General features: G+C 52.4%; 5 annotated features.

Moving 5' to 3' along the window:
- Positions 2,231–2,383: a silencer, noted in NCBI's record as "fragment chr1:5896941-5897093 (GRCh37/hg19 assembly coordinates)". NCBI's record gives its function as "represses an EF-1alpha promoter that drives an FKBP-Casp9 reporter gene in an ReSE screen in phorbol 12-myristate 13-acetate-treated (for megakaryocytic differentiation) K562 erythroleukemia cells {active_cell/tissue: K562(+PMA)}" and the evidence as "EXISTENCE:reporter gene assay evidence [ECO:0000049][PMID:32094911]".
- Positions 7,063–7,573: an enhancer, noted in NCBI's record as "H3K27ac-H3K4me1 hESC enhancer chr1:5891751-5892261 (GRCh37/hg19 assembly coordinates)". NCBI's record gives its function as "activates a minimal SCP1, AML or CMV promoter by ChIP-STARR-seq in naive H9 embryonic stem cells {active_cell/tissue: H9 hESC(naive)}" and the evidence as "EXISTENCE:reporter gene assay evidence [ECO:0000049][PMID:30033119]".
- Positions 8,221–8,515: an enhancer, noted in NCBI's record as "tiled region #9093; HepG2 Activating non-DNase unmatched - State 13:Ctcf". NCBI's record gives its function as "activates a minimal TATA promoter and a strong SV40 promoter by Sharpr-MPRA in HepG2 cells {active_cell/tissue: HepG2}" and the evidence as "EXISTENCE:reporter gene assay evidence [ECO:0000049][PMID:27701403]".
- Positions 12,510–13,010: an enhancer, noted in NCBI's record as "H3K4me1 hESC enhancer chr1:5886314-5886814 (GRCh37/hg19 assembly coordinates)". NCBI's record gives its function as "activates a minimal SCP1, AML or CMV promoter by ChIP-STARR-seq in naive H9 embryonic stem cells {active_cell/tissue: H9 hESC(naive)}" and the evidence as "EXISTENCE:reporter gene assay evidence [ECO:0000049][PMID:30033119]".
- Positions 15,208–15,792: an enhancer, noted in NCBI's record as "NANOG hESC enhancer chr1:5883532-5884116 (GRCh37/hg19 assembly coordinates)". NCBI's record gives its function as "activates a minimal SCP1, AML or CMV promoter by ChIP-STARR-seq in naive and primed H9 embryonic stem cells {active_cell/tissue: H9 hESC(naive and primed)}" and the evidence as "EXISTENCE:reporter gene assay evidence [ECO:0000049][PMID:30033119]".

The following is a 26,403-nucleotide window of genomic DNA, read 5'->3' as shown; positions in this document are numbered from 1 at the left end:
ACTTGACCCATGGCCAATCAGAGGCTGGAGTGTGGAGACTCGGCCTGAGGTCAATCAGAGGCTGGAGTGGAGACTTGTGTCTTGTGATTGCAGGGGTGAGGATGTGGCCTGTGTGCTGCCCAATCCTGCCTGGAACTGGCTGCACCTGCTGTTCTTCTGCTTCTGCCTTAACCCTGGGTTACCCTCATTCCCTGTTCTCCTGCCTCACCTCCACTCTGCAGGCTGTGTCTTCTGATCTGTTACTGGAGGCTTGGAGTGAGGCCATCTCTGGCTCTCAGTCGAGGGGCAGCTGTGTGGGTAGATGCCCTGTAACATCTACCCTCGGAGCTTCGGGGTCTAAGATGCCAAACAGGGTCCTGACTGGGCCCCCTCTGGCTGTGGCCTCAGAGTAAACTGCAAGGGAGACTCCAGGGCAGTGGCTCTGGGGTCTTGGAGCATTCCACGTCCCTGGTGTTAATGCTGGATAATGGAGATGCACCAGCTATGGAATCCAGGGGTCAGCAGCTCCCTGGGAAAGACCCAGTCTCCCCCTAGTCCTGGAAGGAGGCTGCAAGATCTCTATTCTGCTCAGGTGGGCTGGTGAGCTTGTCCCCAGTAAGACACCACCCTCATATTGCCCCCAGCCTCCCGCTTGCCTGTCTCTTTATTCTCCTAACATTTTCTCCATATCACTAGGAAAAGGATGTTTTGGTAATGATCAAATGAATTCACAGATGGGATATCCAGCCCCCTCCTCCCAGGACAGGTGGGAGGGGAGCGTCTGCGGGGCTCACGCAAGCATGGAGCCGAGCGCTTGGGCCGGGGGCTGAATTTCCTCCGGTGCCTCGCCAGGGAGTAGCGCTCGGAGCCCCTGATAAATGTCCCCTGGCAGGACCTGGCCTCCCTTGGAGAGCTGGAGCATGGACGGGGCACTTTAGCTGCCCAGACCTAATAAAGTACAATATAACCGTGTGTTTGACTCTTGTTTGCATCTGAAGATAATTCTTCTAAGTTTAGTTTTATTGATCTGAGAGGGGCTCGGCTCCTGGAAATCAGTGTCCCCCTCGGCTTCCCAGCCACCTTCTTGTGTCACCACTTGGGACTTGCATGATCCTGGTTGCTGTTTGCCTAATTTGCATTTTGTTAGCCAATGATTAAGCATGTTAGCAAGGCAAACCCGGGCTCAGCGACTCAGGGGCTCCTTGGTGGATGATTCTCGGGGTGATGCATTTCACCGTCATTGGTAACTTTTGGATTTCATGGGTCAATTTTTAAAAAAAAAAGAAAGAAAAAAAATCAGATAATGTGGAATTGCCAGCGGTTTTTTTTTTTTTGAGACAGAGTCTCGCTCTGTCGCCCAGGCTGGAGTGCAGTGGCGTGATCTCGGCTCACTACAAGCTCCACCTCCTGGGTTCACGCCATTCTCCTGCCTCAGCCTCCCGAATAGCTGGGACTACAGGTGCCCGCCACCATGCCCGGCTAATTTTTTTGTATTTTTTTTAGTAGAGACGGGGTTTCACTGTGTTAGCCAGGATGGTCTTGATCTCCTGACCTCGTGATCCCCCCGCCTCGGCCTCCCAAAGTGTTGGGATTACAGGCGTGAGCCACCGCTCCCGGCCTGAATTGCCAGCTTTTTATTGGCCAAGTAAGGGCATTAAAAGAATTCCTTCCAAACCCAAACTACTCCATCTGCATCATCATTTCATAATAGAAGGAACATTTGAGCCCTCCAGCCTAGGAAGGATGCGAGACAGTGCTTTCACCGAATACATTTGCTTGAATGAAAAACGGCTCTCTATAGCGTTCCTACCCTGTTTCTAGGGGTCTGGTGGAGACCTCGCTCATGATGGCCCCCCGTGCTCCCCCCAGGTAGGGGGACCCCTGGGCTAAGCCTCAGCCTGGTGGTTTGGGCACGCTGTTCCTGGAAGGCTCTGGAAAGAACTAGGAGCCATGGAGGCCGAGGTGAGGCTGGATCAGGGTTCCTCTTCCTGCTCCTGGTGTGGCAAAGCCTCAGGCGCACTGGCCTCTGAGACTGCCACTGCCCTGGCACTGCCCTCAGCCCTTCACACCCTTGCCCGGTTGGCACCTATGTAGACAAAACCTGGATGAGCCCCGGTTCCGCTGCCGGTGGGCAGGAGGAGGGGGAGGGGCTGCGAGGCCCTGTTTCTTCCAGGACTTCTGCAGGAGGGAGTAAGATCAGAGAGCCGCCCACCTCTAGTTCAGAAAGCAAATTGATTTCCCGTGTGGTTTGAGCTGGCTTTCTGCCCTGGAGCTGGGAAGGTGTGGGGCTAGACTTAGCTTTCCGGGCCCCGGGCAGGCTGCAACCCCTGGAAAAAAGCCAGTCAGATCAAGCCCAGCTCAAAGAGGAGTCTCGCCACCCCTGGGCCACGCTCTCAGCCAGGGTGTGTGGGGCGCTGAAAGCTCTGTTTTCACTAAGAACAGCACCCCAAATGTGCCGGCTGGGGGTCTCAGTCTGAACTTCACAGCACAATGGGCTTTATCAATATTGCATCGTCTCAGGAACTCTCCTGGGCTCTCGCTGCCTAGGAGGAAGGAGAAGAGGGTGCTTAGAGATTCTCTCTTAAGCAGGTGGAGGCAGGGAATTGAACCCGTCCTTCAGGACAGGGGCTTCCTGGGAGGAGACTTCAAAACACGCCTTGCAGCTGCCATGGGGGCTTCAACACCTTAGACGCTTTGTACAAACCCAGAAAAGGGATTTGGGGCTACATGTGGGAAGATTCCTTGGTCTCAAAAAGTCTGCAGAGACTTTGCTTAAAAACACTCGGGAAGAGTCAGAGGTGTGGGAGCTGGAACAAGCAGGCACTTGGGGATACTGAAGCCAACTGGAGCCGGTGTTTACAGTGATTGAGACACAGGGACCCCGAGCTCAGTGCAGTGTCAGCCACATGACTCCATTCCCTCGTTCCATGTCTCATTCCTCCAGTCTCAGCCAAAGCCTTGATCAAACTCTTGGGAGTAGAGGAGATGAACTGTGTTGTGAAAAAACAGGAGTGGGCTGGGTGTTTACAGTGATTGAGACACAGGGACCCCGAGCTCAGTGCAGTGTCAGCCACATGACTCCATTCCCTTGTTCCATGTCTCATTTCTCCAGTCTCAGCCAAAGCCTTGATCAAACTCTTGGGAGTAGAGGAGATGAACTGTGTTGTGAAAAAACAGGAGTGGGCCGGGTGCGGTGGCTCATGTCTATAATCCCAGCCTTTTGGGAGGCCGAAGTGGGAGGATTGCTTGAGCCCAGAATTTCAAGACTAGCCTGGGCAACATGGTGAGACCCCCGTCTCTACCGAAAATGAAAAAAAATATCTGGGCATGGTGGTGTGCACCTGTGGTCCCAGCTGAGGTGGGAGGATAGCTTGGACTCAGGAGTTTGAAGTTACAGTGAGCTATGACTGCAATACTGCACTCTAGTATTACAATGTTGCAATCATAGCTCACTGTGTATCTCCAGAGTGAGACCCTGAAAGAAAAAACAGAATGGGAGTGGGCAACATAATGAGACCCTGTCTCTCCATAAGACAAGAAAACAATTTAACTGGACGTGGTGGCACTCGCCTGTGGTCCCAGCTATTCCAGTGGTTGAGGCAGGAGGATGGCTTGAGCCTAGGAAGTCAAGGCTGCAGTGAGCTGTGATTGCGCCACTGCACTCCAGCCTGGGGACAGAGTGAGACTCTAAAACAAAAATGAAAACAAAAAAGCCCCACAAAAAAACAGGAGTGAGTGACTATGCCTAGGGTAGAATTTGACCCCAGGCTGGGCACAGGCCTGGGTCAGGTCCCAGAGGTTCCTGAGGCTCTGGCGCCTAAGTCTGACGGTGACTATCCAGAGAGCCTGACAGACGTCGTGCTCAGGATGCCGATGGAAGAGAGGCTGACATCCTTAGCGTCTCCCTCCCCGGCAGCCTGGAGTCAGGGTCAGGGCATCAGGCTGGGATCTGCCTGTCAGGCACGGCATGGGAGCAGTCCTAGGGCAGAGCAAGTGCCAGCAGCCCTCTAATGCCTAAGATCCTGCCTCCCTCTCTGGGGAATCCTGTCACCTGCAGAAACCCCTGGGTTTCTCTTTAGGAAGGTTCCTGCATCTGTCTCTTGGAGTGGCGTTTTCTAGAAGTTCTGGTGGTTCCTGGCTGGATGAGACTCCCCTGGGCCTCTCCCTCTACCTTCTCCTTCCCTCACACGGCCACCCGTCCCATCGCGGCCCTGCATGGAGCGGCTTTTTGGCCTCTGGGAAGATGTGAAGCCGAGCTGCCCTGTCCTAGCGGTGAGTCACCCTGGGCGGCTCCAGACCCTCGCTGCTCCCGCAGCAGCATCGCACCCACGTGCACTCATCATCTGGGCCCGGGTCCTGTTTTTTCTTGGACCACTTCACTCCTCAATGTTTTGGAAGCCGCATTCCCCAGAGTGATTGCCTGTGCCCTGCGTTCATTGACCAAGTGAACGGCCGAAGGCTTCCTTGGCGCTGCTAATGAGGAACACACCAGGCAGGTTGCTGTCCCCAGGGAGTTTGAGAATGGGTGGTCACTGGGGGGTTCCATGCCACCCCACCAGGTGGGCGCCTGCGACCCCCTCCTCAGCACCCACCCCTCGAGGTGGATCACGGCCGGCCGTGCAGCTTTGATGGTGCCCACAGAGGGCTCGGGGGCTGAGACGGTGGCCCGGCTGGTCGGCAGGGGCGGGGGCAGGAGCAGGCCGGGCTCTGCACTCCGGCTTTGCAGGCAGGAGTTGAGGCTGTGGGCCTTCTGAGAGTCCTCCTCCCTGCAGGCTGCACCCAGGGGTGTTCAAACCTTGCTGTCCTTTGTACCTGGAGGTGGCTGGAGCTGCTCCCCTGTTGCTGACTGGATGTGGACTTGGGGGACCCCTCCTCTCTCCACCCCTCCCATTTGTTTCTAAGGGGTCTGCTGGGATTCTGGGTAGAATGTGAGACTTGGGACAAAGGGCAGGTTTGTGGGCTCACTCTGACGTGACCCCAGAACTTATGATACCCAGGGTAGAACTGGGGAGGGGCAGGGGGCCCAGGCTGGGGTGTGTGGCCTGCCTCTCCTGACTGCCCTGTGCGGGAGGCGCTTCTCCCCCCGTGCCTCTATTCCAGAGCCACAAAGCTGGAGGGCGGCGCCCACGGGCTCTGCCTTCACTCCCTCGGCATGGACGGGCCGGATGTTGGGGGCACTAGGTGGGGGCACTGGGCCGTAAGGCTGGACGAGGCCCTGTGTTGAGCTGCACGGAGTGGACCCAGAGTGTGATGCCAGCCTCCTCTTGCTCAGGAATGTGGTCCTCCTTCTGCCCAGTGTCCCCTCTGCTGTGGTCAGTGGCGGAGCAGGGACATGTTGGGAAGGCCCAGGAGGAAAATTCTCAAACCTCGAGTCCCACTCCCATGGGAACGCTCCTGAGTGACGTTGGCAGAAGGCATTTGAAACTAAATTTTGAGCGCTGTCATCCCGACTCTGAATCTGCAGTGACAGGAGTGCCTGCCCGGGACGCCATTACCTGAAATTTAGGGGACTGAGCGATGTTCTCCGCGGGTGGCAGTAGGCTCTGCCACCTCCCGAGTGTGGTGTCCAGGCTAGCCAGGTTGGGGCCTTTACCCAGCTGGGCTGCAGGCACCGTGGTTCCTCCTCGTCATGGGAAAGCGTGTGCTGGCAGCTGGGATGAAGGTCAGTGGAGGCCGCCTAGGGAGAAGTCAGGTGGCCACCGAGGCCCCTGCTTGTCTTTGAAGTCCTGCTGATCTCCCAGGGCATTTGGGGCTCTGCGGGCGTCGTGCACTGATTCCTTCTGGACTCAGCAGATGTCCTGCAGGAGCAGCCGGTCCGGGGTCTGTGTTCAGACTGTGCCCCTGGGGTTCCAACTGAAAACTCAGAGTCACGGGGATGGTCAACGTGAGAAGCAAGGGTGTAGGGGAAGGGAGCCCAGACATCCCCCATCCCCAATTCGAGTCGCGCCTCCTGTGTGCCTCGCTGATTTGCTGTGTGCAGTTGAGCCTGGGGGGCCCTGAAGCCTGTTTTGGGCTCCTGGGTGGAGAGGTGGGGATTGGACCCGGGTGGAGAGGTAGGGATTGAACCCGGGTGGAAAGGTGGGGATTGGACCCGGGTGGACCTTGCTCCACTTCGGCAGGCTCCTGGAGCAGCCCACGGGCCGTGGCGAGAGTGTCACCCAAAACGAGGCTGCAGGTGGGCGGCTGGCTGCTCCCCAGCCCCTCTTCTTTCATGGAGATGCACCCCAATTCAGGAGCTCTCGGCCGGCCACCCAGAGGGAGCCATCTGCAGGTCAGGAATGAAGGTCGGGGCATGCACAGCTTTCTCTACCCTGGCATCAAGCACTCGTTATTACCTGTGGGATTTGCTGACACCGCTGGGTGTCCAGCAATGCAATTCAATTCTGAACTGATCTACCTGGGGGTAGTGTCAGATCCGATGAGGCCTGGGGCTCAGTCCCATAGGAGAGTCCCCACTTTGGATGTCAGTTGCAAGTCCTGGGCCATTCCCTCTTCTGTCCAACCAGATATAAATCTGGGGTTCCCATAACGCCCTGTCTGGGCTTGATAATTCGCTAGAACAACTCACAGAACCGGGCAAGTGCTTTACTCACAGCAAGCAGTCTCTTATAAAGGCAGCAACTCGGCTGATTGGAAGAGACGCACAGGGTGAGGCACGGGGCTGTCTGGGAGTGCCCATGCCTCCTCCAGACGCGCCCCCTCCCACACCTCCATGAGTTCACCAGAGAGAAACTCTTTGAGCCCTGTCATTTAGGGGTTTTTATGGAGGTCCCATTACGTTGGCCTGATTGATTATGTCATTGACTATTGTGATTGACTCAATCTCCAGTCCTTCTCCCTTCCCTGGAGAAGGGGGTTGGGGGCAGAGGGGTTTGGAGAGGACTGAAAGTTCCCACCCTGTAACCACATGGTTGGGCTTCTGGCAGCCAGCCCCCAGCTCCCAGCCCCCAGTTTCCAGCCCCCAGCTCCCAGCCCATAGCCCTCAGTTCCCAGCCCCCAGCCCCCAGCCCCCAGCCTCCAGCCCCCAGCCCACAGCTATCTAGGGAGCTACTGAATTGCCTCATTAGCATAAGCTCAGGTAAGGGGGAAAGGGGCTGCTTGTGAATGACAAAAGCCACTCCTGAGCTTGGACGTGCCCACGGTTTTAGGAGCTCTGTGCCTGGAACCAGACACAAGACCAGGTGCAGTTTTCATTATAGCACGTGTTAGGGTGGCCCCTCTGTTCTTCAGTGGCCAGGTCCCCCAGGCCCAAGGTCTGGACCCGGGCTGTGAAATCCTTGTGGTGCTTACTTTGGGGCATTCGTCCCTGCGTGGCCTTGTGAGCTTCCATTCACATCCCCGTCTGGGCTTCCAGTGGGCAGACCTGGATGTGGCTCCCAGGGTCTCCCAGGCAGCCCTCCTTGGGGTGGAGAGGCCCCGTGTTCTCTGTGTTGTGTTGGGTGTCTCTATGTGTTAGGCTCTGTGCCAGGTGCCATTCTCCTGGTACCAGCACCTCTGCAAGGGCCTGGGGCTCTTGCCAGCATGGGTAGAGCTGAGAGCTGTGCCATCTGGAAGCTGACTCATTCGCTGTTATCACCCAAAAGGGCCGGCAGATCAGTTCAGTCATGACAGGTGTGCAGAGCCCTGATCAGCTTTGAGGATGGCAAGGGGGCAATCCAAAGGCCAAGGCTAGGGAAGATGTCAGAATCTTCCCTCTCTCCGAGGGATGGTGTCAACCCAGGCGCCCTCGGTGACCACCCAGATGTGGCAGTGATGGTGGGGAGTGACACTCTCGGTGGCCACCAGATGTGGCAGTGACGGTGGCAGTGACGGTGGGGAGTGACGCCCTCAGTGGCTGCCCACAGGCTCCCCCTCTGCCCGGGTCTGGCCTCACCAGCTCCAGGAGCCAGGTATGCTGAACACCTCTGAGCCTTGGCTTCCTCCTCTGTGACCCAAGGACAGAGAGAGTGGCCACCTCAGACGCTGGCAGAGAGGACTGCATACGAGCCTGCTTTGAGCCCATTGAGTCCTGGCGACACTGCTTCTTATTTTCACCATCAGCGCATCCGCAGGGCTTGGACGCGTCCTGGCACGTTGAAGGTTCCTGGTGATTTTAGATGAATGAATTATTGCTCTGGGCACCATCAGCCTCAGACCCCCTTTTCAGCCTGAGCGCTCCTGTGGAGGAAGAAGACTGATGGAAGCTTCTAGGCTCCTGCCGAGCCCTGTGGCATGCTCCAGAAGGTGCCCTTTGTTAGGCCTGTGGTTCCCAGAGGCAGGGGCCACCTGTCCCGTCTCAGTCTCTGTTCAGCGCATGGCTCTTGGTGGAGTGGGAGGACTTCCCGGCTGGCAGCTGATGGTGGCGCTGTTGGCTCACGCCAGGGCCCAGGCAAGCACAGGCTCTGCCGCCTCCTGGGCCAGCGAGGGAGGGGTGGAGGGAGGGGAGGGGGAGCAGACCTCTCTTGTCCAGATGCTCCACTGGCCAGGCAAGTCTGCCGCAGAGTCTCCTAGAGGTCCCTGGTCTTGGCCTTCCTCAATGACAAGAGGACTAGAGAGGCCTGGAGACCCTCAGGGGAGAGGTCTGGGGGACAGGGAGGGAGTGGGCAGGCCTGGCTGGGGACCCAGCAGCTTTGGCTTTTCTTCCAGCCTCCGGCTTCTCTTCTCACTTGGAGCCCTGCTTTTGCGGACACTGTGGGAGAGCCCAGGACCTTTCTGTGGCTGGGGTGGGAGTCATGATGGGTGGGCAGGCCGGCGCATGGGGTTCATAGCTGTGGTCCAGCTGTTGGCCTGGCCCAGACCTGGGTAGTCTGAGTCCGACCCTCTCCGTTGCTCTACCCTGAAATGGTACCTGCAGTTGGCTGGGAAGGCTCAATCCTCCAGTTGCCTTGCCTCCTGCAGGGTAACTTTCCCGGGGCCTTGGGGACCCTTCAGCCTTCCCTGGAGGAAGAGCTGAGCCAGGTGCTCTGCTGGCTGCACGCTTGCTGTCCTCCCAGACTTCTGATCTCTGCTAGGATGCCCACAGAAGGTTTTCTGTGAGTCGACAGGCATTGGCACACAGGAATGGAAGCCCTCCTCTGGCCTGGCATGGGACTGGTACCAGGCTCCTCATGGAGAGTTCTCTCCCAGCCCTGGATTCTGAGACTGGTGATTTACTCCTCACTAGGATCTGGGAGGCTTTGGGCCTGTGCTCTGCTGCAGGCTGGTGACCTTGGAACAGTGGCCTTTTCTTTTCAGACCTGGTCTTGTCATCTGGGAAATGGGGTAGTTGAGCAAGCTTTGATTCCTTTCCATCCTGGTATTGGGAGATGTTCCTTTCAGCCTTGGGTTTGGCTTTATGTTTTCCATGTTGAATTCCCTGATTTTGTCTCACGGGCTACATGGCTTACATCCCTCTAACTCCTCCTGGCCTAAGAGCCCATCCCTGTCACCATCATCACCATCATCACCGCTATCACCATCATTACCACCATCACCATCACCATCATCACTACCACCATCACCATCACCATCACCACCATCACCATCACCACCATCACCACCACCAACATAATCATCACCATCATGACCACCATCATCACTATCACCATCACCACCACCATCACTATCATCATCACCACCACCATCACTATCATCATCACCACTACCATCACCACCACCACCGTCATCACTATCACCATCATCACCACTATCACCGTCACCACCATCACCATAATTACCACCATCACCACACTTCTGACATCAGCCACCACCATCATCATCACCCATCACTACCAGCACCATCATCACCTCCCACTGCCATGACTATCCACCACTGACACCATGTTGCCACCACCATAATTCCCATTCCTCATCACTACCTCCCCAGTCATTACCACCACCACACCCTCGGCACAGTCACTACCTGGTCTCCCAACCCTACCTATTACACATCAGTCACCACGACTACCACTGCCACCTTCTATCTGATAGGATTTCTGAGCTTCAAATGGCATAAAAGTCTTTTGTAGTAGACAAAAGGCAATGTTTTTTGGTAATGGCGGTTTTTATAATAAACTGAGGTTCCACTTGGGAAAATAAATGCTAACCACAAAGACAAATAAGGTGTGGCTGGGCACGGTCGCTCATGCCTGTAATCCCAATACTTTGGGGGAGCCGAAGTGGGCAGATCACCTGAGGTCAGGAGTTCGTGACCAGCCTGGCCAACATGGTGAAACCCCGTCTCTACCAAAAATACAAAATTAGCTGGGCGTGGTAGCGCGTGCTTGTAATCCCAGCTCCTCAGGAGGCTGAAGTAGGAGAATTGCTTGAACCTGGGAGGTGGAGGTTGCAGTGAGCCAGGATCATGCCACTGCACTCTAGCCTGGGTGACAGAGTGAGACTCCATCTCAAAACAAAACAAAACAAAAAGATGATTTCTCACAGGACAAGATAACTTGCTAAAGGATTTCTGCAAGCAGCCTGACCTAGGCATTTCCGTTGCAATTTCTCTTACCCCAGGGACTGACTTGTGGGAACTTCTGAGATACCCCTCAAGGGACTCCTGAGAAGCGGGTGACACCACCTTCCAACACCAAGCATGGAGAAGACCCCCAGAGGTGTGGGCTGCCCTGTGCTGGGTGCTTCTTCTGGGCTCTCACACTTAAGCTGCATGACCAGGATGGAATAGATGGGTGTATGTGGATGACTGAGCACTCAGCCATCCCCACTCCTGGCAAAAGAAGCCGAAAAGGCGGCCCTCCTCCCCGCAGGTCAGGAAGATCATCTCTGCCTGAGAAGGATGACGCAATTTCTTCTTCTCCCTGCTGGGGGACCATGGTGCCCATCTGTAGATTTTTAACAGCTGAGTGGGCTCTGTGGTGCTGATTTTGAGCAGCTGAACGCTGTAGAGTTCTTTGGTCTTGTAAATGGTGGAGTGATTTCTCTACAGCTGCTTAAAGAGCTGGGACTACGAACCAAGGAGTGCTTGGCTGTGAACGGCGCAGCCCCGCTCCCAGCAGCCTCCCAGCCCTGTTTGTTTTTTAGGGTTCCTGCCGTCCCCTTGTCGCTCTGCCTGGACTTCGCGGAGCTCTGGTTTCTGGCAGCCCCTTCGGAAGCAGGGCTTGCTCGCCACAGCCAGTGAGGGCTCCTCTGTTTTTTTATCAGGTGTCTGATACCCCTTCTGGTAATAACGACTCTGTTTTCTCATCTCCTTTAGGTGGGGAGAACCCCCCCTCCACTCTCAGTTCACGTGGGTCTTATGGCCTGGACAGCCCCTCCCTGCCTCGTGACCGCTCCAGCACCTGGGCCTGGCCAATCAGAGGTAAATGTGTGACCCAGGTTGATCTAAGGAGTGTCTTGTCCTGGGAGTTTTGCTTAGAACTGTGTGGAAGAGAAAATCTCTTTGTTCTGGCCCTAAAGCTGTGAGAACACAACCTCCAGCATCAGGGGCGGTCTAGAGCGGTGAGCCTGACTGGGAAGAAAGCCAGCAGTGGGGGGAGGGCAGAGTGGAACAATGGAGAAACTGAGTCCCAGTGACATCGTTTGAGTGCCAGGGACCAGCTGTCTTAGGCCTGTCCTGGAATTGTCAGTTACACGAGCCAAAAATGTCCCCTGGCACGCTCGAGCAAGTTTGGGTTGTGTTTCCAGCCAACTAAGAAGAGTCCTTAAGCCAGCCTGTATAAAATCACTGTCATTTGGAGGAAAGAGCCTTGGGATGTTGAGAGAATTACCCTTCGTGTTCCAAAGCGGCCTCCACAGCTTCTGTTCTTGCTCTGGGGCTGGTGTTCCTGCCCAGCCTGGTGACCGTCTAGGCAGGGTTAGAGGGGGAGCCTAGAGATCAGGGTGTCGGTGAGGCCTGGTTCAGGGCAGGTAGGTTCCATGGCACCTGCAGTTGGTGCTGGGGAGTTTGGGTGGTTGGGAGGAGGGCAGGGAAAGCCTGTTGTTCCCAATTTCAAGTTGGTTTGGCTTGTGAATCCCATATCCAGGAACCTTGTAGCTCAAGAGCTCAAGCTTAAATTTGTTTTTAAGTTTTTTTAGTCTGAAGATTACTTTTTTCGTTTAAACTCATGAATTACGATTGAAATATACGTAGAGAACCCAAAGAAAGGAATCCTAAGTAGGGAAATGGGAGTTAAATTATCTAAATCTGTTTTTATTGCTTCCTCTTTCACGATCCCTAAATCTATGATCACTGAATGGAACTCAACCCTTAGATTTTCAAGCTGTAAGTTCCTGCAGAAAGTTCTCGGTAGATTGGTCGGGGTCGCTTGCAGAGAACAGATTTCATTCTAGACATTTTGCAGAAAGGAGTTTATGATAGGACATTAAATGGCTTGTAAACTATTGGGAGGGTGAAACAAACTCCAGTCTGAGCTTCTAGGAATGGTCAGAAAGTCGTTTCTGTTAAACAGGGGAAGGCCCCGCTACAGCCGCAGGCTCTGGAACCACAGATGCCTCTGCTCTGAGCAAAGTGGATTTCCCTCTTCTCCTCCCGCTTTCCTCGGGCCTCGCAGGGGTGCATTCTGTTGACGGTGAAGCCTCAAGCACAGCTGGAGCCTGAGCTGCAGGGGCGCCTGGGAGATGCGGTTTTACCACCAGCCTCGACAGAGTAAGATGGTGTCCCAGGAGGCTGGAGTCGTTACCAGGCCCACCGAGGCAGGGTGCCCTTCACAGGCCACCCTTTGCCGGTCAATTTCCCCCACACCCCCTCCTCCCCAGACTTCAACTTGTAAACAATCACATTAGCAACAAGCTCTCCTGCCTAATATAGTACAACCATCCCTCAGAGAGGCACAATTGTCCTCATCCTTCCCTGAAAGGAAGGGCCCGAAATATCATCAATCACTATGACCCAGATTCTAAAACCAACCACCTACTGCACACCCGATTTAAAGTAGTAGGGAAAGGTGGGGGCGGGAAGGAAATCCAATATAGATTCCTTATGTATTTACCTGGCAGCGGGCCATCCACTGGTGTTTGGAACTTTCTCTCTTCCACTGATTATTCCGTCATCTTTGTCCTCAAGTTAACACTTCAGCTGGTCCGAGTTTGTAACCTGGCAGATGATTGACTCACACTTTTACCCCTGCTGGGTATGAGCTCTTCATGATCCTGCTTGTGGGGGGTTACTGTAGACTTTCATCAAAACTGACACAAAATACTACAATGAAAAGAAGCAGCCTCCAAAATTGCGTGGGCCCCAGAACACCCCCTCCATGTCCATTGAGTGGCAGCAGCCCCATTTCCCCTTGATATTCACCATCTATTACCCAGCCAGCATGGTACTGTGAACCCAGAAGTATCTGAGACAGGTCTCGATCAATTTAGAAAGTTTATTTTGCCAAGGCTAAGGACACGCCCATGACACATCCTCAGGAAGGCCTGACATGTGCCCAAGGTGTTCGGGGCATGGATTGCTTGCTTTTATTTATTTTTATTTTATTTTATTTTATTATTATTATACTTTAAGTTTTAGGGTACATGTGCACAATGTGCAGGTTAGTTACATATGTATACATGTGCCATGCTGGTGTGCTGCACCCATTAACTCGTCATTTAGCATTAGGTATATCTCCTAATGCTGTCCCTTCCCCCTCCGCCCACCCCACAACAGTCCCCAGAGTGTGATGTTCCCCTTCCTGTGTCCATGTGTTCTCATTGTTCAATTCCCACCTATGAGTGAGAACATGCGGTGTTTGGTTTTTTGCTCTTGCGATAGTTTACTGAGAATGATGATTTCCAATTTCATCCATGTCCCTACAAAGGACATGAACTCATCATTTTTTATGGCTGCATAGTATTCCATGGTGTATATATGCCACATTTTCTTAATCCAGTCTATCATTGTTGGACATTTGGGTTGGTTCCAAGTCTTTGCTATTGTGAATAGTGCCACAATAAACATACGTGTGTATGTGTCTTTATAGCAGCATGATTTATAGTCCTTTGGGTATATACCCAGTAATGGGATGGCTGGATCAAATGGTATTTCTAGTTCTAGATCCCTGAGGAATCGCCACACTGACTTCCACAATGGTTGAACTAGTTTACAGTCCCACCAACAGTGTAAAAGTGTTCCTATTTCTCCACATCCTCTCCAGCACCTGTTGTTTCCTGACTTTTTAATGATTGCCATTCTCACTGGTGTGAGATGGTATCTCATTGTGGTTTTGATTTGCATGTTTCTGATGGCCAGTGATGGTGAGCATTTTTTCGTGTGTTTTTTGGCTGCATAAATGCTTTCTTTTGAGAAGTGTCTGTTCATGTCCTTCACCCACTTTTTGATGGGGTTGTTTTTTTCTTGTAAATTTGTTTGAGTTCATTGTAGATTCTGGATATTAGCCCTTTGTCAGATGAGTAGGTTGTGAAAATTTTCTCACATTTTGTAGGTTGCCTGTTCACTCTGATGGTAGTTTCTTTTGCTGTGCAGAAGCTCTTTAGTTTAATTAGATCCCATTTGTCAATTTTGGCTTTTGTTGCCATTGCTTTTCATGTTTTAGACATGAAGTCCTTGCCCATGCCTATGTCCTGAATGGTAATGCCTAGGTTTTCTTCTAGGGTTTTTATGGTTTTGGGTCTAAAGTTTAAGTCTTTAATCCATCTTGAATTAATTTTTTATAAAGTGTAAGGAAGGGATCCAGTTTCAGCTTTCTACATATGGCTAGCCAGTTTTCCCAGTACCATTTATTAAACAGGGAATCCTTTCCCCATTGCTTGTTTTTGTCAGGTTTGTCAAAGATCAGATAGTTGTAGATAAGCGGCATTATTTCTGAGGGCTCTGTTCTGTTCCATTGATCTATATCTCTGTTTTGGTACCAGTACCATGCTGTTTTGGTTACTGTAGCCTTGTAGTATAGTTTGAAGTCAGGTAGCGTGATGCCTCCAGCTTTGTTCTTTTGGCTTAGGATTGACTTGGCGATGTGGGCTCTTTTTTGGTTCCATATGAACTTTAAAGTAGTTTTTTTCCAATTCTGTGAAGAAAGTCATTGCTTGCTTTTATACATTTTCGGGAGACATGAGACATCAATCAATACATGTAAGATGTACATCGGTTCAGTCCAGAAAGACGGGGCAACTGGAATGGGGTGGGACCTTCCAAGTAGGCAGATTCAAAGATTTTCTGATTGGCAATTGGTTGACAGAGTTATTATATTATCAATAGAAATGAATGTCCTGGGTTACAATAAGGGGTTTTGGACACCAACGATTTTTTTTTTTTTTTTTTTTTTGAGACAGAGTCTTGCTCAGCTGCCCAGGCTGGAGTGCAGTGGCGTGATCTTGGCTCACTGCAGCCACTGTCTCCTGGGTTCAAGTGGTTCTCACATCTCAGCCTCCCGAGTAGCTGGGATTATAGGCACCCACCATCATGCCCGGCTAATTTTTGTATTTTAGTGAGACGGTTTTACCATGTTGGCCAGGCTGGTCTTGAACTCCTGATCTTAGGTGATCCACCCACCTCGGCCTCCCAAAGTGCTAGGATTACAGATGTGAGCCACTGCGTCCGGCCAATGCCAAGGTTTTATCATGCAGATGAAAGCTCCGGGTAGCAGGCTTCACAGAGAATAGACTGTAAGTGTTTCTTATCAGACTTAAAGAGTCTGTTCTCTCAGTAATTCCAAGAGTGAGAAGGTGATAATGAGGCGTGTCCAGCTCCCCTTCCCATCGTGGCCTGAAACTGGTTTTTCAGTTGACTTTGGAGTGCCCTTGGCCGAGAGGAGGGGTCCATTCAGATGGTTGGGGGCCTTAGAATTATTTTATTTTATGTTAATTTTTGAGATGGAGTTTTGCTCTTGTTGCCAAGATTGGAGTGTAATGACACAATCTTGGCTCACTGCAACCTCTGCCTCCTGGGTTCAAGTGATTCTGCTGTCTCAGCCTCCCAAGTAGCTGGGACCACAGGCGCCCGCCACAACACCTGGCTAATTTTTGTATTTTTAGTAGAGACGGGGTTTCACCATGTTGGCCAGGCTGGTCTCGAACTCCTGACCTCAGGTGACTCACCCACCTCGGCCTCCCAAAGTGCTGGGATTACAGGTGTGAGCCACCACGCCCAGCCTAGAATTTTATTTTTGATTTACAGTACCATGGTTGTGTCTTCTCTCTAAAGTTGTGGGGATGGGAAGCAAGAATTAGAAATTTTGCAATCAGTCCTTAGGGACAGCATCACTTGTTCCCCTGACCCGCGTTTCTGCCTGTGGGAGAAAGAGCATGGCGTGGCGTGTGTGGCTCAGAGGGTCTACCATGTGAATAACACAGTTCTCCACTCCATGTGCGACTGGCTCCCATCCAGTACCACAGTGGAGTCTTCATGGTCCTTCTGCCATTCCGGGTGATGAGTGCATGGCAAGACCAGTGAATTCCATGCCTCACCCCGCGGCCACCCTTCTTTGTCTGGAAAGTGAATTTCTTTGCCGGGAGCAATGTTGTTTGAGGTGCCATGGAAGAAAACAGTCTGCAGTTCCGCAGACGGGCAGAAGCATGGTGAGGACGGAGGGCAGAGCCGCACTCAAAGTCAACGTGCGTTCCAATGAGGCCAGTCGGCTCACTCCCCTGGATCGAAAGAGGCCGGCTCTCAGGGCAGGCAGGCACCCTTGTGGGGGATCTGCTTCTGTTTCTCCTGTGTGTGGCCAGGGTGGTGGCCAGACCTGCTCTGGGGAGGGGAGAGTGGTTGCTGAGCTCACACCATGATCTCTGTCTCAGCCTCATGCCACTGTGTCCATGAACTCACTGAGCACTCAGTGGAGTGGCTAAGGAAAGAGGCTCCTCAGCCTCCTCAGAGTGGGTCAGCTTGTCCACCAGCTACCAAGAGCCTCCTCTGTTGGGGGGGCCAGATGTCCTCACATGCTTGGCCCGTCCTGGGAGGCCCATCCCCAGCCTCCAGTCCTGTTCTTCCCGAGCGGTACCGCTGGGCCAGACCTTTAGACAAGCCTCCCGTTTGCATATGTGTCCCCATCTCTCCTTCCAGACCCCAGTGGAAAATCAGCTGTGCCATTTGAAGTTCTGCCTACTGGGAGAATTTGCCTTTTCCAGTCTAAATCAAGGCCTCCCCAGGGTGGGGGCTGTGATACAGCAGCAGCTGCTTATGGCTGGGGCCAGCATATTGTACACAGCCCACAAACCAGGCTCAACTTCCTTCTTCCCCAGTGAGTGGGTCAGAGGGAACCCCAAGAGATGGATGATCGGGGGGTGGACAGAGGGGTGGCTGGGCCACTGCAGTAGGTGCCTGGGGTGCAAGTCCCCTGCTGGTGCGATTACCTATGTTTTCAGGGCCTGCTTGGACCCGGTTTCTTGCGTGCATCTTAGATGGGAGTTGGGGGAGGGAAGCGCTGCTGCTTGGCGTAGCTCCGGGCTTGGCCTGGCAGAGCATCTCCTGTCCACTTATGCCTGGCCCCTTGGTATCCCTTAGGGATCTATGACTAGTAGCACATTCTCCATCAGGTCCAGAAGCAACTCCTGAACTGTGTCTTTAAAGGAAATAGTTGTTTGCTGAAGAGACTGTGGCTTTGCTTCAAAACCCAAGGGAACTGCACGGTGATTCTTCCATTGCAACTTGTCACAGGCTGTCTGCAGTTTCCCCATCTGTCCAGATGCTGTGAGCCCTGCGGGGTGTCAGGGATAAGTGCCCAGAAGCCAAGCGGCATCTGCTGCAGCCCAGGTTGGCCAGTGAGCCTCCTGCTCGGGTGCCCACAGAGTAGGCAGGCTTAGGGGTTCCTTGATGAAGGGGTGGGAGCCTGTGCCTCTCTTTTAGTGACGAGTTGCAAGATGTAGCAACTTTTATTTTTGTTTTCTGGAGAGTAAATCCTACATCCTACCATACCCCAGATCAGGCTGCTGAATTTTCTTTCCTGCTTTCCTTCCTTCCTTCCTTCCCTCTCCCTTTCTTTCTTTCTTTTCTTTCTCTCTCTCCTTCCTTCCTTCCTTCCTTCCTTCCTTCCTTCCTTCCTTCCCTCCTTCCCTCCCTCCCTCCCTCCCTCCCTCCCTCCCTCTCTCTCTCTCTCTCTTTCTTTCCTTTCTTTCCTTTCTTTCTTTCTCACGGTTTCACTCCGTCACCCAGGCTAGAGTGCAGTGGCACCATCTCGGCTCACTGCAGCCTCTGCTTCCCAGGTCCTAGCGATTCTCCTGCCTCAGCCTCCGGAGGAGCTGGGACTACAGGCGCATGCCACCATGCTCAGCTAATTTTTGTATTTTTAGTAGAGATGGGGTTTCACCATGTTGGCCAGGCTGGCCTCAAGTGATCCGCCCGCCTTGGCCTCCTAAAGTGCTGGGATTACAGGCGTGTCCTGGCAGGCCCCTGAATTTTCAAGTTTGCTTCCCACCCTCTGGCGCACTTGGGTCTTGCCAAGGTTTCCGTATGTCTGCCCGAGACTTCGTGCTCTGAGATCCTCTCACTTTGGGGTCTTCCATGTGGTGGAGCAGCACACTGCCACATGGTTTGCTGGGGTGATGAAGGTCCCTATAGGTGGAATTAGGACTCCTAGATAGAGCTGACACAGCTATAGAGTGCGAGTATGGGATTGCCTGGCTGCCTTTGTCAGGGTTAAGCAAAGTGTCTCTAAATGTGACAGGGGAAAAGCACCTGCCAGCTCCATCGCCGAGTGCCGGGTGCTCCAGCAAGAGACCCGCACATGCAGCAGGGGCTCCCATTGGAGCCACCACCTGAGTCCATTTGTAATGATCCCAGACACTCCCCAAGACCCATCTGCCTCTTGCATTCGTGTGGCAGAAAAGTTCTAGTCTCCCAAATCTGAAGTGACACTGAGACCTTGATCTCCCCGGGGGAGGCTGGGTTGCTTTTATTTACCAATGTGGTAGGAATGGGTAGTTCCAGAGACTTCTACTTGCTCCTTTCCATCATAATGACGCTTGCATGGGTTAGGCTGGTGTAGGATTCTGTCAGTCTTGGAGCCTGTGTCTTACAACCAGGCGCTTAGGAACTGCAGCGATGACCCCATGTGAGTTCGGGAGCCCACTGGCTTTGCTGTGAGAAACTCAGGCTCACGTTCCAACATCATCTGGCCTCTACAGTCTCCATCTGACAAGCCCATGGTGGATCCGGAGTCTCAGGGATCAGCGTCAGCGCACAGCCAGGGTCTAACAATCTCCAAAGGTCTGGGCATTCCCTCCCCTGGGGGCAGCTCACTAGCAGGGGGCAGCTCACTAGCAGGGGCCATGGGTCCCTCGGAGGACAGCGAGGAGCAAGGCTGACTGCCACACCTGCGGTGCTGCAGGAGGCTGTTTGCAAAAAGGGCCACTGCTTCTCCCTGTCTCCACACACCTTGTGTAAGGTGACCTTGTAGCTTCTGCCCTCAAGAGGTGGAGTCTGTTTTCCCTTGAATCTGGGGCTGCCTGGGGACTCATCTGATCCAAGGAATGCAGTGTAAGTGACATCATGCCAGTTCTGAGCCTGAGCCTCAAGAGCCTTGCCTGCACCTGTTCTTTCTCCTGGATCCCCACTTGCTCCATAAGAACAAGCCAGGCCAGCCCTGCTGGAGGACGGGACCATGTGGGGCAGACACAGCCTGGCGGTGGCTCCAGAGCATGTGAGAGAGGCCAGCCAGGATTGGCTGAGCTGGCCCGGTGAGCAGAACTACCTGCTGACCTACAGATGTGTGAGCAATAATAAATGACTGTTGTTTCCAGCTGCTAAATGTGGGCGTGCATGCAGTAGCAAGCAGATACAGGTGGCATCCTAGGGTGGATCCCAAGGGAACCCAGGGAACCCGGCACCTGTTTATTCTGAGGGCCCAGGCTTCACACACTGACTCGCATCTCGGAATTGGGTGAGGAGTTGGGACTTCACTGTGGTGTCTCACGCCAGGCGTCTGCTCTCCAGGCCTGGAGGATTTTTTTTTTTTTAAGTTGTACACATTGAGCAGGACCATAAAGGGCTGCCCACCTATTTCAGGCCCAGGGGCTCCATGACTGATTGATGGCTGCTAAAGTTCCCTGAGCTTGGTCATTCTGATGAGCGTTTGGACTGGGCTGCTCACCAGGCCACCGTCCCCCTGGCCTCTGGCAGGTGCTGCTGCTCTGAAATTGTTCCTGGTGGTGAATCCGTATAGGTCTGCAGCAACCACAATTCTGGCCTCCTCAGCAGAAAGAATTCAACTGAAGGGGGATAAGGCAGAAGGAGAGAATGAGGAAGTTTTAGAGCAGGAGTGAGAGTTCATTAAAAAGCTTTAGAGCAGGAATGAAAGGAAGGAACGTACACTTGGAAGAAGGCCAAGCGGGTGACTTGAAAGATCAAGTGCGTGGTCTGACGTTTTGACTTGGGGTTTTTTATGTCAGCAGGTGTTCAGGGTCTTGTGTCCCTTCTCCCCTGACTATTTCCTTGGAGTGGGCCGTGCACATGCGCAGTGGCTGCCAGTGCTCGGGAGGGGAGCACGCACAGTGTGTTTACTGGAGTTGTGCGCATGCTCGCTTGAGGCGTTCTTTCCTTACAGTCGAGTGTTCCTAGAGGAAGGTCATATACCAGTTAAACGCCACCATTTTGCCCCTTAGTGCATGTATTAGTCTGTTTTCACGCTGTTGAAAAAGACATACCTGAGACTGGGCAATGTACAAAAGAAAGAGTTTTGGACTTACAGTTCCACATGGCTGGGGAGGCCTCACGATCATGGCGGAAGGCAAGGAGGAGCAAGTCACCTCTTACATGGCTGGCAGCAGGCAGAGAGAGAGTTTGTGAGTTTGTGCAGGGGAACTCCTTTTTTTTTAAACCATCAGATATCATGAGACTTATTCACTATTCAGAGAACAGCATGAGAAAGACCTGTCCCCATGATTCAATTAACTCCCACTGGGTCCCTCCCACCACACATGGGACTTGTGGGAGTTATAATTCAAGATGAGATTTGAGTGAGGACACAACCAAACCATATCAGTGCTTATGCTTGAGCCCCCACTTGCCCAACTCCTGAGATCTTATCAGGAAGCTACCTGTTTCAGGTTTTTCCTGTCTACTGGGAGATTGTGTTTCCCTGATGTTGGCTGAGACCAGTGATTATTTTCGAAGGGACAGTTAACAACTGCCTGACCATCACCTGATGGTCACCTGATATTCCTGGGGTGTTGGGGGGTGAGGGGAGCCATCTCCTGCCCTGCTCATGTCTGGCTAGCTACCTACTGTAACAAAAGCCCAGGTGACTGCTTCACCTCTCTATATGAGTAAACCCCCAGTTCCATCCTTGGATGCCTGTAGTCCCTTCAGGTCTGGTCAAGCAGATAACCAGTCCCAGCCTCCACCGCCTCAGTGTGTTGCCCATGAGCAGCCCTGGTGCCAGTTTCTGTGAAACTGCACATTTCAGTGGACTAGAAATGAATTTATTCTCAGTGAAGTCCACAGGGACTCATTGTAGGGTATTGCATGGCCTAAGGAGTCATTGGGAGGCCCAAAGAAACAAACTTGAGGCTGGGTTTCCAGGAAAGATTTTCAAAGCAGTTCTGTGGAGCTGGACAGATGAGGGAGCTGCTACCTGTGAAGGTCAGGAAGCTGCCCGGAGCCAGAAGTGCCGCCACCTGCCACCCAGCCTAGTTCCCACACAGGTTCACTTGGCTGGAGGACAGACACCCCATCCCATGTGGAACTGCAGTGCAAGACATTCTGGGAAATGAAGCTTTTAGGATTTCCAGCTTACCTGGTCCAGGAAGACACTCGAATGAAGACGGTGGAGCAGATGGAGAGGGCCAGTAATCCCCTGTATCCACACACCAGTAATCCCCTGTGTCCACATACCCAGGAATCCCCTGTGTCCACACACCAGTAATCCCCTGTGTCCACACACCAGGAATCCCCTGTATCCACACACCAGTAATCCCCCGTGTCCACACACCAGGAATCCTCTGTATTCAGATACCCAGTAATCCCCTGTATTCACATACCCAGTAATCACCTGTATCCACACACCCACTAATCCCCTTTGTCCACACACCAGTAATCCCCTCTGTCCACACACCAGTAATCCCCTGTATCCACATACCAGTAATCCCCTGTATCCACACACCAGTGATCCCCTCTGTCCACACACCAGTAATCCCCTCTGTCCACACACCAGCAATCCCCTGTATCCACACACCAGTAATCCCCTGTATCCACACACCAGGAATCTCCCGTATCCACACACCAGTAATCCCCCGTATCCACACACCAGGAATCTCCCGTATCCACACACCAGGAATCCCCCGTATCCACACACCAGGAATCTCCCGTATCCACACACCAGGAATCCCCCGTATCCACACACCAGGAATCCCCCGTATCCACACACCAGGAATCCCCCGTATCCACACACCAGTAATCCCCTGTGTCCACACACCAGTAATCCCCTGTATCCACACACCAGTAATCCCCTGTATCCACACACCAGGAATCTCCCGTATCCACACACCAGTAATCCCCCGTATTCACACACCAGGAATCCCCCGTATCCACACACTGGTAATCCCCCATGTCCACACACCGGTAATCCCCCATGTCCACACACCAGTAATCCCCCGTATCCACACACCAGTAATCCCCTGTGTCCACGCACCAGTAATCCCGTGTCCACACACCAGTAATCCCCCGTATCCACACACCAGGAATCCCATGTCCATGCACCAGTAATTCCCTGTATCCACACACCAGTAATCCCCTCTGTCCACACACCAGTAATCCCCTCTGTCCACGCGCCAGTAAACCCCTGTGTCCACACACCAGTAATCCCCTCTGTCCACACACCAGTAATCCCCCGTATCCACACACCAGGAATCCCATGTCCACGTACCAGTAATCCCCTCTGTCCACGCACCAGTAATGCCCTGTGTCCACACACCAGGAATCCCCCATGTCCACACACCCAGTAATTCTCTGGACACTGCCACTGTCCTAAGGGCAGCATGAACTCCCCACATGTTCCCCTAGTCTCCCCCTTGTTGGAGAAGGGGAGTGCTGGCCTCTATATCTTGCAGCTGATCCTGAGAGAGTTGGTTAAGTGGTGGCTGGCGTCAACCTCTGTGGCTACTGCTTGGAGCTCGATTTGTCCTCTGCTTCTTGGAGTTTCTCTGATCTGTTGCATCCTTCTGTGGTTTGACAACGGGATATGAGATTCTGCTACTTGCATTGGGTTGAGTACATCTGAGTCTCTTCAGGGGCAGAGGATAGCATGTTGCCTGATTTTCAGTCCTAGTCTGTCACTCCTGAACGTATGGCATTGGGCAAGATACTTCCTTTCTATGCCTAATTTTTCTTCTGTAAAATGGTTGTAATTATATTACACACTTTACAGGACTATTATGAGGATTAAAGTAGGTAATGCTTATAAAGCCTCTAGCACATTATCTGGTGCAGAATAAGCATTTAATAAATGTTGATTTTTGTTTATTAATTATCATTTGTATTAGATTGGTGCAAAAGTAATTGCGGTTTTTGCCATTACTTTCAATGGCAAAAACCGCAATTACTTTTGCACCAACCTATAGCTAATGTTAAGGGAACTGTCCTGGGAGTAATGGTTTACATCAATATGTTGCTTAAAACAAAAGTCTCCTGCAAATAAATAGCGAGAGCACGTTAAAGTTTAATTCACTAACCAGTGAATTAATGAACCAGCAGGAAGTTAAAAATAGCTGGTTTGATGAGCAAGTCCATGGGTTTATAAGTCAGTTGGGAAAGGCATGCTGGAATCGAACTTGCTAAGTTAGATTCAAAACTGGTTAATGGCTCAGAGGGCAATATGACTGTAACCTTTGGGGACATCTTTTCCACTGGGCTATGAAAACATTAGCCATTACCAGTTTCTGTGGGTTAAAACCCTCAACCTTCCAGGCAGCAGCACAGCCAGGCTCTCAGCCACTGGGCATTTCCCTGGCAAGGGAAACAAACTACACTCCCCACGATGGTCAGCTGCTGAGGCAGGCTTATTAGGAAATGCTCCAGCAGCAAGGGCATCAGGGAAGCAAGAGATCAGCTTGTTCCCCTTTCCCAGGCTTGGGATACATTTGTTATTACTGATGTGTATATAGGAAGTTCCTACTCCTCTTAAAGATATAGGGGAAACACCCTATGAGATGACGGCTGATTTTGCTGCCTTCACATGGAACCCATGCCCTGGGGCTTCTGGATTTGCTCTTACCCAGGAGAGAAGGGAGAAGGTACTATTAGGTTAGTGCAGAAGTAATTGTGTGGCCGGGCGCGGTGGCTCACGTCTATAATCCCTGTACTTTGGGAGGCCAAGGCAGGCGGATCACGAGGTCAGGAGATTGAGACCATCCTGGCTAACACAGTGAAACCCTGTCTCTACTAAAAATACAAAAAATTAGCTGGGCGTGGTGGCCGGCGCCTGTAGTCCCATCTACTTAGGAGGCTGAGGCAGGAGAATGGCGGGAACCCAGGAGGTGGAGTTTGCAGTGAGCTGAGATCGCACCACTGCACTCCAGCCTGGGCGACAGAGCGAGACTCCGTCTCAAAAAAAAAAAAAAAAAAAGTAATTGTGTTTTTTTCCCATTAGAAGTAATGGCAACAACTGCAATGACTTTTGCATCAACTGAATATAAAGGGTGGCTTCTGTGTAGGTGGGCACCCTGCATCGGTCACCCCTGGGCAGAGTTAACAACTCCCCTGGTTCTGATAGGTTAGAGTGGCTGGTGCTGGCTACCTCTCGGGGGAGAGAAGGTCTTGGCAGAGGAAGGAGGTATGTGGTTCAACTTTCTTCTTTCCTGGTCAACTTGCCAACCAAACCGGCCCCTTTCCCAGCACGCCTAGGCCGCCTGAACGCATTCTGGAGAATCTGGCCATGTTTAATGGAGATGTGCACGAAGGCGTCTAACACCTGGCGGGTCACGCAGTGTGAAAGTTCAGGGGATGGGGAGCTCTTAGGACTCCGTGTTGCTCAGGGAGCCCGGAGGCCCTGCCTTCTGCCTTGGCCCAGCCTGCCACCCGCCCCCTGCAAAGCCATCGGGGAGAGGCTTGGAGGAGGCAGAGACAAGCGGAACCAGGCTTCATTGAAAGCCACTGCTGTGGTCAGCAGGCTGACAGCTCCCTCTTCGCCCCAAACCCCAACCCTGAGTCTCAGATCCTAGCACTTGAGTGTGACAAAAGCCACGCCGGCCAGTGTCGCTGGGAGTGGGAGTGAGCGCGGGGGCTTCCTCGGAGGGATGTTTGTGGCCAGAGGCATAAAGTGTGTGAATGAACGAGGCTCCCCGGGGTCCCGCCCCCCACCTGAGGGTGAAGGGGAGGGGAGAGGGAGCCCCCGCCTCAGGGCAGCTGTGCCCAAACCCTAGTCCTTCCTCATCCTCCCGTGGTTTCAGCCTCACCCTCTTACTGCTTGTATCATGTGATTCTTATCATTATTTAAAGGGACCCAGCTTTTTAGCTAAGTACATTTATTTCAAAAGGAACATGTATTATTGTCCTAAATGAGATACCAGAAATATTTCTTTTCCAAATATAGAAGGTAACTTGTAAAAAAAAAAACAACAAAACTTAATGACGATAAAACAGACTTTTTTTAACTGTAGCAAATGCTGGCTCTTACCTGAGAGCAGTCTTTGTTTTGGTTTGTTTTTCCTTTTCTCTTCCTCCTCCTTCCTTCTCTGTTCTCCTTCCTCCTTCCTCCCTCCTCCTCGTCCTCCTCCTCGTCCTTGTCCTCCTCCTCCTCCTCCTCATCCTCCTCCTCCTCCTCCTCGTCCTCGTCCTCATCCTCCTCGTCCTCCTCCTCCTCCTCTTCCTCCTCCTCCTCCTCCTCCGTCTCTTTCTGTGCCTGGTGTATTTCACTTAACACAATAACCTCCAGTTCCATCCATGTTGTTGCAAATGACAGGATTTCATACTTTCTTATGGCTGAATAGTACTAGCCTGGAGTTCTGAGTCACCGACTGGAGGAGAACCACAAGGTCCCCTGGCCCACATTGACTATAGCATGAGAGGAGTGTAAACTGTGATCATGCTCAGCCACTGAGATCCTGGCATTGTTTCTTGTGGCAGCCAGTGTTCATTACCCACGTATGTCCACTTAGCCAGAGGGTCCCATTAGCCAGAAAACACCCCTCTCCAATAATCATTGTTAATGAAGATGGAGGAACTGTGGGGGGTGCTGTCTTCATTCAAGTAATTAATATTTATTTGGCACTTAGGTGGTCAGGCACTGTGATACATGCTTTCTCACATTGCTTTGTTCAATTTCCATCACAACCGGACTAGGTGTGGGCATTAGTATCTGTTTTACAGATGAGGAAACTAGGGCTCAATAAGATTTACACAGGTAGGGAGAGCTGGGCTGGACTTTGAACCCAGCTCCGTCTGACCACACGGCGTATCTTCTCTTCACCACGCTAGATATATTGATCCTTTTAATATGGGCATGTCAGGGAGGAATTTTGATGGAAAGAGTAAATGTGTACTATTGGTCGATCCTCTAGGTGCCTACGCCAGGGCGTGAGAAAAGCATCAGAGCAGAGGGCTCTGCAGAATTCAGGGTAAACTGTTCCTCAATT

The sequence above is a fragment of the Homo sapiens genome, chromosome 1, assembly GCF_000001405.40.
Source record: "Homo sapiens chromosome 1, GRCh38.p14 Primary Assembly".
In the NCBI taxonomy this organism is placed as follows: Eukaryota; Metazoa; Chordata; class Mammalia; order Primates; family Hominidae; genus Homo; species Homo sapiens.
Note: the sequence above shows the minus strand (reverse complement) of the source record. Positions and strands in the feature narration are given on the sequence as shown.